General features: G+C 37.3%; 1 protein-coding gene and 1 long non-coding RNA gene across 6 annotated transcripts in view; one reads left to right on the forward strand and one right to left on the reverse strand.

The window, feature by feature from the left end:
• The window catches only part of LOC101927157 (uncharacterized), a 76,511-nt gene that overhangs the window by 41,342 nt on the left and 23,127 nt on the right, over positions 1 to 12,042 (forward strand). Inside the window, exon 2 of the long non-coding RNA NR_125879.1 lies at positions 3,456 to 3,571. This is a non-coding gene — a long non-coding RNA (uncharacterized LOC101927157). The remainder of the gene's footprint in view (positions 1 to 3,455; positions 3,572 to 12,042) is intronic.
• The window catches only part of CNGA1 (cyclic nucleotide gated channel subunit alpha 1), an 80,705-nt gene that overhangs the window by 19,592 nt on the left and 49,071 nt on the right, over positions 1 to 12,042 (reverse strand). The gene's annotated exons all lie outside the window — the stretch shown is intronic.

Raw genomic sequence — 12,042 nt, forward strand, 5'->3', positions numbered from 1 at the left:
TGCCTGAGCCATGCTGTTTCACACCTCTGTGCCTTTGCATATGCTCTCCTTGGGCTTCAAAAGTCCACTTCTCTTGAGTCCAAATAGGTGTTATCCATTGCTCAAGTCCAGGCCACTGACTCCTCGCCCTTGACCTAGGTAATTGCTTCCTTCTCTTCTCTGCCACTGCATTTTGTACATATTTCAATTGTTTTCCACTTGCTAAATTGTGACACACACCATCTTCACAAGGCTACAACCTCCTCTGGAAGGGAGACTTTTGTAACCACAGCAGTGCTTGCACATGATAGGTACTCAAGAAATGCTTATGGCATGAACAAATATAGTTTTGTGTTTTAAAAAGCTATACTCATGAGACATTTCATTAGAAGTTATGAAAACTCACTAAATTTACAACGACTTTGAAATGGTTCTTAGGGCGACAGATATGGTGAATTGGCCCACATAACCCATTCTTCTCTCCTTCTAGTGTGCTTTCATGATCTGCAAAAACTGAAAGAGCTAAAAATCTACATTACTGAGTCTGCTTTGCAGCTCAGATTCTGGATGGCATTTGCGGCACTTAGGTTTAGTCAATTAAATGCATTTGTATGAGATTTGGAAGGTAGAAGTGAGGTGAAGACAATGGATCTTCCATTTCTGCTATGGCTGCCAGCAAGAATGGGCAGGGACACGTTGGATATTCTGAGGCGGCTATCCCCGTCTGGTTACTAGCTTTCCTGGTGCCAAAGGAAGGGCATCCAGTTTATGCTGGAATGCATCTAGCAGGAGTAGGGTGACTGTTGTGCCAGGTGCAGTGGAAGTGGCTCCCATCTAAGGAAGTGCGTTCTTGAATAAACAGTTCCAGTGGGAGCTTCCTCACTGCCCACTTTCAGGTTACAAGAGAGGAAGAAACTTCCCTGCTGGCTAATTCTGGCATATTGTTCTGGGGTTATGCCTATGGTTCAGCCTAGAGCCCCAGCCCTTCTAATGACTCTTTGCATCTATTTCCAAGAATTAAAGCTCTTTCTATTGAAAAAGGCCAGTGTACAATTCGGTTTCTGCAAATGAACAAATTCTTTTCCTGATTTTAGATACATGAAGTGCTGTAGAACATTGGAAATGGTTGCCAAAATGAGGGAAAGGAAGGGGAAGGAAAGGACAGAACGGGAAATGTGAAAGAAGAGGAAGGAAAAGGGAAGGAAGGAGTGTGGGAGAGGTGATAGAGAGGAGAAAAGCAGAGCACATTCCCAGACTTTTTGTTGCTATTGTTGTTGTTTGAAGAAAATTTAGGAGAAACATTAATGGTCAAACTGCCTTTTTTGCTGGCATTTAAATATCTACATTATAATAAATTCCAGAATTTACTGCAAATTTTTATTTTTTTATTTTTTTATTTATTTTTAGACCGAGTCTTGCTCTGTCACCCAGGCTGGAGTGCAGTAGCACAATCTTGGTTCACTGCAACCTCTGCCTCCCGGGTTCAAGTGATTCTCCTGCCTTGGTCTCCCAAGTAGCTGGGATTACAGGTGCATGCCACCATGCCTGGCTAATTTTTTTGTATTTTTAGTAGAGACAAGGTTTCACCATGTTGGCCAGGCTGGTCTCGAACTCCTGACCTTAGGTGATCCACCCACCTCAGTCTCCCAAAGTGCTGAGATTACAGGTGTGAGCCACTGCCACCAGCCTGCAAATTTTTACATTAGTCTAACCTTTCAAGATGATGAGAATATTGTCTCCTTAAATATATTCATGGATCTTTTACTGAAGTGAGCAAAAATCACACACTGAGCATGGTGGCTCAAACCTGTAATCCAAGCACTTTGGGAGGCTGAGGTGGTAGGATTGCTTAAGGCCAGGAGTTCAAGACTGGGCAACATAGCAAGATCTCCATCTCTACAAAATAAAAATAAGAATAAAATGTTAGCCCAGAGTGGTGATGTGCACCTGTAGTCCCAGCTACTTGGCAGGCTGAGGCAGGTGGATCACTTGAGCTTTGGAGGTTGAGGCTGCAGTGAGCTGTGATTGTGCCACTGCACTCTAGCCTGGGTGACAGAGAGTGACCTCATCTCTAAAAATAAAATTAAAATTAAAAATGGAAATAAGAAAATCACTGATATTTATGCCTCAAGTTCACAAGCACTAGAGGAAATTTGAAGAAAGGTGAGTTTAGCAATGATAAGAAACATCTTTATGCTATTTAAAAGATCTCCCACCAGATATAGAACTGAACTGACCAGATACAAACAGTATTAAGGTTTCAAAAATTCAGAAACCTTGATTAGCTTTGGCCATTCTCCTATGTTGTAAGCATTTGATAATGTATCAGATAGATGTGTTTGTAATTTTTTTTTTTTTTTTTTTTGAGATGGAGTCTTGCTCTGTCGCCCAGGATGGAGTGCAGTGGCGGGATCTCAGCTCACTGCAACCTCCACCTCCCGGGTTCAAGTGATTCTCCTGCCTCAACCTCCCGAGTAGCTGGGACTACAGGTGCGTGCCACCACACCCAGCTAATTTTTTGTATTTTTAGTAGAGATGATATTTCACCGTGTTAGCCAGGATGGTCTTGATCTCCTGACCTCGTGATCCACCCACCTCAGCCTCCCAAAGTGTTGGGATGTGAGCCACCGTGCCTGGCCATGTTTGTAATTTTTATATACACCTCTGTTTAACAATAACTTTGCTCATGCTGTTCATTTTGCATGGAATTCTTGACTCTTTTTGTTCTCCCAGGAAAAATCCTATTTGGCCTTCAAAAATCAGTTCATATATTCCCTGTGTAAAGACATCAATGAGGCCAGGCGTGGTGGCTCACGCCTGTAATCCCAGCACTTTGGGAGGCCGAGGCAGGCTGATCACCTGAAGTCAAGAGTTCAAGAGCAGCCTGGCCAACATGGTGAAACTCCATCTCTACAAAAATACAAAAATTAGCAGGGCATGATGGCGGGTGACTAATCCCAGCTACTTGGGAGACTGAGGCAGGAGAATCATTGGAACCCAGAAGGTGGAGGTTACAGTGAGCCGAGATCGCACCATTGCGCACCAACCTGGGCAACAAAGCAAGACTCCGCCTCAAAAAAAAAAAAAATAGACGTAGATGATTACTTGGGCACAGAATCCAGCACACCCTCCTTTTTATTCCCATAGTTCTGTGCGTCTACCTCTCTACACACTGGCTACTACATGGGTACTGATACATCCACCTCCCCTGCTAGATTGTGAGCTCTTCGGAAAAGTTCATACAGGAGCTCTTGAACGTAATACCTGATATTTACTAAAGCTTTTTAGCATTAAAGTGGAATCAATTCTGCACTAAGTTTTAACTGAGTACCTTAAACATAATTCATTATAATTATTTCATTTTTCATTTAAGTAATGCAGAAACATAAGTAATAAAGTTAAAGCTACAAATAAATTTATTTTTATTACAGAAATAAAATCACTTGCCATAACAGAATTACTTTGATTGTTTATAGAGAAATTAACAACATAAAGAAGAAAATGTTTGCGAAGAAGATTTTATGTGATCAATCAACAAAGACATGAAGCATGGAGATTTTGAGAAAGGTCAGGAAACTATAGAGAAAGACAGGTATAAGTCACTGGGGAGAGAGTTGGTGGCAAATGTGGGTGCTGGTGCCCAACAGCCTCGCAAAAACTATCATGTTTAATTAGAGGCAAAGGGAATATTATAGAAACTCAAAAGAAATGAGAAATCAATAACAACAACCAATGGTACACACTCATCTAAGAGCCTTTGGACCACCAAAAATATATCAGATTTAATTAGTCCCACTAATTCCATGTTCACTTTGGAAACTTGAAAACCTTGTGGCCTGAGTGTGCAAATAAAGTAAATTATCATTTTAAAAGTACATGGAGAAAAAAAGAAAACTCCACCCCTGCCTCACACCACCACAAAAATTAATTCAATATGGATCACAGACCTAAACACAAAAGCTAAAATTATAAAGCTTCTAGAATAAAACATAGGAAAATAGTCTCATAACTTTGGGGTAGGCAAAGTTTCTTAGAAAGGGCACAAAAAAGACACTCAATCTAAAAGAAAAAAAATTTTTTTAGACAGTCTCACTCTGTCACCCAGGCTGGAGTGCAGTGGCGCCATCTCGGCTAACTGCAACCTCCGCTTCCTTAGTTCAATTATCTTGCCTCAGTCACCAGAGTAGCTGGGATTACAGGCACCTGCCACCATGCCTGGCTAATTTTTTTGTATTTTTAGTAGAGTCGGGGTTTCACCATGTTGGCCAGGTTGCTCTCAAACTCCTGACCTCAAGCGACCTGCCCGCCTTGGCCTCCCAAAGTGCTGGGATTACAGTTGTGAGCCACCACGTCCAGCTCTAAAAGAAATTCGCGATGCATTGGATATCATCAAAAATTATAAACTTTTGCTTATCAAAAGACATATAAGAAGATGTAAAGGCAAGCCACAGATAATCATATTCACAGTACATTTATCTGACAAGACTTATATACATAAAATTTATGAAATTTTATGCAAATCAACCATAAAAACAACCCAATAAAAATATAAACAAAAATCATCAACAAATCCTTCCTAAAAGAAGATATAAAAATAACTAATAAGCACATGAAAATGTGCTTAACTCATCAGTCAACAAATAAATGCAAATTAAAACCACAAGATACTTTTTCACACCTAGTACAATGGCTAAAATTTAAAAGACCAACACCCCAAATGTCACGCATGTCACTGGTGGGACAAAAGATTGTACAACCTCTTTGGCAAACTGTCTGGCAGTTACCTACAAACACACAACTACTCTGTTTCTCACTAATTTCAGTATATGTATTTACTCAATTTAAGATGGATCACTGACCTAAACATAGAAGCTAAAATTATAAAGCTTCTAGATGAAAACATAGGAAAATATCCTCATGACCTTGGGATAGGCAACACTTCTTAGAGAGGGCACAAAAAAGACACTAAATCTAAAATAAATTTTTGATGCATTGGATATCATTAGAATTCCAATCTTTTGCTTATCAAAACACATATGATGAAATGAAATAATATGTATATAAAAACACTTGTACAAGAATGTTTTCATTAGCTATATTTATAGAAGTCCCAAACAGGAAGCAACCCATATTTTCATCAATAGAGGAATGGATAAACAATCTGGTTTAAAAAAAAATGAAATACTTTTCAGCAATAAATAGAAATGAACTCCTGATACTTCCAACAACATGGATGAATCCCAAAAACATGAAAGAAGCCAGATATAAGAGTATATGCTGCATGACTATATTTATATAAAATTTAAGGACAGGCAAAACATTGGTGATAGAAGTAAAAATAGTAGTTGTCTAAGGGGGGTGAAATTTACTGAAAAGGACAAAAGGGAACTTTCTGGAATGAAAATTGGGGAAGGTGGTTACATGAGTGTATACATAGATCAAAAATCATCAAATTGTACCTTTAATATATTTGCATTTTACTTACAGTATGAAAATTTTAACCTCAATTCTTAAATACAAAAATATTTGCATCAAAAATATTAAGAAGTGCCTTGACCTTGGACTTCTCAGACTCCAGAATGGAAAAAAAGAAATTCCTTTTCTTTGTAAATTGCCCAGTTTCAGGTATTTCTTTTAAGCAACAGAAAATGGACTAAGATACATTGAGTTATCTCCTCCTTGAAGCTGTCTTCAGCATTCAAGGTGAAACATTAAAGATACAGCCCTGTCACATCCTTCCATCAAGAAACACAGGCTGCCTCTTGGAACCAGAGTCCCTTCCAGCCTCCCATTGAGTAAGGTTGGGGTTGGGGGCTGTGGAACTGTGCTTTTAAAACCCTCTTCTGTGGATTCTGGATTCTGCCAAGTAGTCAGAGCTGAGAACCAATGATCAGACACTAAATATGCTGTCCAGGCCAAGTGCCATGGCTCATGCCAGTAATCTCAGCACTTTGGGAGGCCAAGGAGGGCAGATCACTTGAGGTCAAGAGTTCCAGACCAGCCTGGGCAACATAGTGAGATCCCCATCTCTACTAAAAATACAAAAATTAGTCAGGCATGGTAGTGCATGCCTGTGGTCTCAGCTATTCAGGAGGCTGAGGTGACAGGATCGCTTGAGCCTGGGGCGGAGTGAAGTTTACAGTGCACTCCAGCCTGGGTGACAGAGCAAGATTGTGTTTCAAAAATAAAAATAAAAATACTGTCCAATGTGGTGGCCACCAGCTGTTGTAGCTACTGAGCACTGGAAATGTGGCTAGTGAGACTGAAGACTGGATTTTAAACTTTATTTAATTTTAACTATTTGAAGTGATAATAAAGTTATTAGGAGACTTTTAAGTGTGTTTGGAACAACTTGACTATGCGAACCTTCAATTTCAATTGTGAATTTTATAAATCTAAATATATAGATTGAGCATTTACCTGGAAATTTAACATGTGAATTGAAATGTGCTGGAAGTGTCTGAGTAAAAAAAGAATGCAAGATATCTGATTACAGATTTTTAAAATATTAATTATGGCCGGGCGCGGTGGCTCGTGCCTGTAATCCCAGAACTTTGGGAGGCCAAGGCGGGTGGATCACGAGGTCAGGAGATTGAGACCATCCTGGCCAACATAGTGAAACCCTGTCTCTACTAAAAATACAAAAATTAGCTGGGTGTGGTGGTGTGTGCCTGTAATCCCAGCTACTCGGGAGGCTGAGACAGGAGAATCGCTTGAACCAGGGAGTCGGAGGTTGCAGTGAGCCAAGATCATGCCACTTGCACTCCAGCCTGGCAACAGAGCGAGACTCTGTCTCAAAAAAAAAAAAAAAATTGATTACATGTTGGAATAATATGTTGGAAGTACCAGGTTGAATAAATATATTGTTGAAAATGAAAAAAAAAAGTATACGTTTTTAGTGATGCCATTCTTTAATGTAATAATTTACTTGACAATTTACTGGGTTCTTACTATATGCCAGACATAAAGCACTCTATTCAGGTAATTCTCACTACAAACTGTGAAGTAAGTATTTCCTCAGGTTCTTACAGATAAGGAATCTGGAACTCAGAAAATGTACTTAATTTGCCAAGAACATATAGCCAGAATATATACTCAATATAGTAGTTATGTGAACCAGAGTACATATGATGCCAAAACTCTATGCTTTTAACTTCTCGTTACACTGATTTCTAATTTCCCCCAAATTTTTGCACTACAGATGAGAAATCCAAAACATATTTAAATTTTAATATTAAAGTTGTCATAATTCTAGTATACCATTTCAATAATCCACTTTTAAATTTGAGGACCACTGAACCTCAAAGAGAAAAAATAAACCAAAGACTACGTATATTATCTGTTTAAGCAAACAACACTAATTTAGTGTCTTGACTGACAGAAAGAATTGATATGTTTAAAACATAATAGCTGAATTTTTTTTTTTTTGACACAGGGTCTTACCCTGTCACCCAGGCTGGAATGCGGTGGTGTGATCATGGCTCACTACAGCCTCAAACTCCTGGGCTCAAGCAGTCCTCCCGCCTCAACCTTCTGGGTAGGTGGGAATACAGGCACGTACCACCACATTTGGCTAATTTTTTTGTAGAAATGGGATCTCACTTTATTGCTCAGGCTGGTCTTGAACTCCAGACGTCAAATGATCCTCCCACCTTAGCCTCCCAAAGTGTTGGAATTACAGGCGTGGGCCATCACGCCAAGCCAATAACTGGATTTTAAATTGAGTGAGTTTGCTGGTATTATTTGGTTTATATTACAAGGTGTGATGGCCTTTGCAAAGCAGAATCATAGAAACCTAGAAGCAGTTATAATTTCAAATGTCACTTGAGCCAACCTTCCATTCAAACAGGAATGCCGCTATCATATTCCTGATAAATGATCACCTGGTCTCTTTTGGAACACTTCTGGTTGTGGGAACTTCCTGCCTTATGAGTAGCCTGTTCCATTGTTGGACAACTTTGTTCTTTAGGAAATTCATCTTATTTTCCTGAATAACATTTGCTTCACAAACTGTGGTGAGGATAAAATGAGTTAAGTGCTTAGCATTATGCCTGGCACATAGTAAGAGCCCAATAAATGACAATTTATTCTATCAGTTTAATAAACATAATCCTCACGGTAGCATATACTTTTGAGTTACAATGAACTGTCAATCATGTCCACCCATTTATACTCTGCCCTGAAAGAGTCCAAGGCAGGACTGTCCCCATCTGTTCTTAGAACTTTTCTTGCCAATTCATAGGACTCTTAAGTAAATTAAAATGAAAGAAAAATCATTTGATATAGAAAAATGTATAAAATATACCTCATTATTGAAAGTAAAATCAATAATGACTTAAATTTTATAAAATGTTAAATATTCAAGTGAAGACAACAATAAATAATGCTTTCTATCTTACTCCAGTACCCAAACAATTAATGAAAATAACTAGCAGGCAGTAGCCAATAAATAGTAAATAAAGAATTTTTGTAATGTTTGTGAATGAACGTGTACATATATTTTAAAATATAATTAAAGTAATTTTTACTGAGAAACAACTGCTTTCTAAGATGAGAAATTCTTCGCTGACTCCTTTTCAGCATCAGAATGAAGACATGACTATTCTGGTATATTTCCCCACATGCCAACTCCCTGTTGTCATCAATGAACACTCTCTTTGGAGACCTCATGCCTTATGACTAGGGAAGGGAGAATATGTGATTATTTCATTCATCATAATACACAGAAAAAATTATATGAGTAAAATATTAAATAAGAACAGAAAATATAATTCTGATTGTCAGAACAAACCGAGCCTGGGCTTTGCTTAACCCTAAAGAAAAATGAGTCCTTCTCTTGTCCTATAATTTCTTGTTGGCCTAAGTGTTCTACTTGGAATTTTTTTTTATTAATCACTTTTAAACATACATAATCACTTTTAAAAATAGAAATTATAAACAGAAAAAGACATTTGAAATTTATAATTATTTATAAATATTTTCCCCACTTGTTTTATGGTTTTCTTTTTAATCTACCTCAAATTAATTTTGGTGCAAGGTATACAGTAGAGATTTAGCTTTATATTTTCTGAGTGGATAGTCGATATTCTAATTAGCATTTAATCAATAATCAATAGACCATCTTTTCCCTACTGATCTGAAATGTTATTCTAAAACTGCCTTTCCAACTATAGAGATTTTGATGGAATTTGCATTAAAATCATAGAATAAATTAGGAAATTATTTTCCTTTACATTTTCAAAAATGTTTCAATGTATAGATTCTAAATTTTTATTAATTCCTACATGTTTTATATTTGTGTTCCTTTTGTCATTAGCTTGGTTTTCCCTTGATGTATATTAACTCTTTACTTTTGCTACGTCAGGAAATTATTTATTCTTATTTATTTTGAAACTGACCACATTACTGGCCTTTACAACATTTTTTTCTAATAGTTTTTGTATTAATTAATTTCTGTTTTTTCAATACAATTATATTACTTACACAAAATTATTTCCTCTTTTTAAGAAGCATTTAGTTTTAATGTCTAATTGCCTTGACTAAAACTTCCAGAAGATAATACATAATAATGTTGATATTCTGTTATAACTATCTTAACGGATATCCAGTATGGTCCTTGGCTTTATGAAAATGCCTCTTGATTTTCATTCTTAAGCATGGTGTTGACCATTAGTTTGAGGTAGATGTTTTATTCATGTTAGGAAGTTTCCTATGTTGCCAATTTTTAAAATATTAGAAATGGGAATTAATGTTGAGTTTTATTAAAGTCTCCTTTGCTCTCATAGAAATAATCATATTTTCCTGTGAATATTAATATGGTGAACTATATAAATAATTTTAACACTTCTATGATAAACACTTCTTGGTTATGATAAGTTATTCTTTTTTTTTTTTTTTGAGACAGAGTCTCACTCTGTCACCCAGACTGGAGTACGGTGGTGTGTTCTCAGCTCACTGCAACCTCCACCATCTTGGTTCAAGTGATTCTCCTGCCTCAGCCTCCCGAGTAGCTGGGATTACAGGTGCCCACCACCAGGCCCGGCTAATTTTTGTATTTTTAGTAGAGATGAGGTTTCACCATGTTGGCCAGGCTGGTCTCAAACTCCTGACCTCAGGTGATCCACCCACCTCAGCCTTCCAAACTACTGGGATTACAGGTGTGAGCCACCATGCCTGGCCCTGATAAGTTATTCTTTTTATATGCTACTGGGTCCCAGCTGCTAGTATTTTATTTTGAATTTTTCCATCTGTTTTTAAAGGTAAAATTACTCTGTAGTTTGAGAAAAAAATTTTAATAGTAATTGCTTATTCTTTTCATACACTTTTCAACTCTTGAGGTATCATAGGATCATAGGCAAAACATCTGAAAAGAACAGAAAAAAAAATATTCTTTTAGGGACTTCGTTGCTTTACTGGTTTTCCCATGCATGAGTCTTTGAATTGAAATTTGTGAATCAAAGAGAAACAATTGCTTTGGAAAGCAAGATTCAGCTCTCATATTTAGCTGACTCACAAAAATTCCTCACTTAAGCGAGGATATAACAAAGTACACAAAAATATACCAAAGCAATGGTTGAGAAAATCTTATGGGTAATTCAGGCAAAACAAATATGGAACATGAACTGTGAATACATGGAACAGTATATTCTACTGATTGAAGTCATGCTCTAGCTTGGGTTCAAAACCTGGCTCTGCCACTTATTAGCTGAATGAACTCAAGTGAGATTTTTTTAACCTCATGGAACCTCAGTTTACACATTTGTGAACAGAATAATAATGCCTTCTTTATATAAAAGGGCAGAGAAGATATGCTGTATACCCACTTACACACACAAACCCACACATAATTAACTATGTATTAGTGGTTCTTTAAATTTAGCATGCATATACTTGTGAAGCTTGTTTAAAATGCATATTACAGGGCCCTATTTGCAGAATCTGAATAAGGTATGGGTAAGGCACATAAATCTACAGTTTTACCAAGCGCTATAAGTAATTCTGTTGCAAAGGATTCCTGAATCACACCTTGTGAAACATTACTCTGCATTATTTGCCTTTAGTGCCTTTGGCCTTTTCTGAATGCCACAAGTGGGAGACAGAAAATAATGGTTAGGAAAGGCTTCAAGGTTGCTGTTAACTGCTTGATATTTCAGATCTACAAATCTGAAACCTTTAGGATCAGTTCTTGCAAACAAAACTTACAAGCAACTATTATAAGTATATTTGTAACTTAAAATGAGAAATGTAGGTATAAATTTGAAAAGTAATCAATAAGATTCACAATAATAATGACAAAAAATAAGGAGAGAAACCAAATGTTGATTTCAACAAATGTAGAAATGCAGAAATGTAGAAAATGCATTTTCCAAAATTCAACACCCATTTATAACTAGAACTCTTAGCAAACCAGGAATAGAAGGGAACTTCCTCAACCCGATAAACAGCAAGTATCAAATAATCTACAGTTAACATTGGCCAGGTGTAGTGGCTCACACCTGTAATCCCAGCACTTTGGGAGGCTGAGGCGGGTGGATCACTTGAGGTCAGGAGTTGGAGACCAACCTGGCCAACATGGCGAAGCCCTGTGTCTACTAAAAATACAAAAATTAGCCAGGCATGGTGGCGAGCACCTGTAATCCCAGCTACTTGGAAAGCTGAGGCAGGAGAATCACTTGAACCCAGGAGACAGAGTTTGCAATGAGCCAAGATCTTGCCACTGCACTCCTGCCTGGGCGACAGAACCAGATTCTGTCTCAAAAAACAAAAAAACAAAACAAAAAAAAAGAAACTACAGTTGACATTATACTTAATAATGAAAGACTGAACATTTTCCTCCTAAGGTCAAGAATAAGACAAGGATATTCTAGAAGTAGTCAACATTGCACTGGAGGTTCTAGCGCTTGCAATAAGGCAGGAAAAAGAATACAAAGCATCTGAATTGGAAAAGAAGTAAAACTATTTGTTTGTAGATGACATAATAGTGTATGTAGTCAACCATAAAATAAATTCTTCAGCATCTAGAAAAAAATGATTAGAACAAATAAGTGAATTTAGCAAGGTCAC

This window comes from Homo sapiens, chromosome 4, assembly GCF_000001405.40.
Source record: "Homo sapiens chromosome 4, GRCh38.p14 Primary Assembly".
NCBI classification, from domain to species: domain Eukaryota; kingdom Metazoa; phylum Chordata; class Mammalia; order Primates; family Hominidae; genus Homo; species Homo sapiens.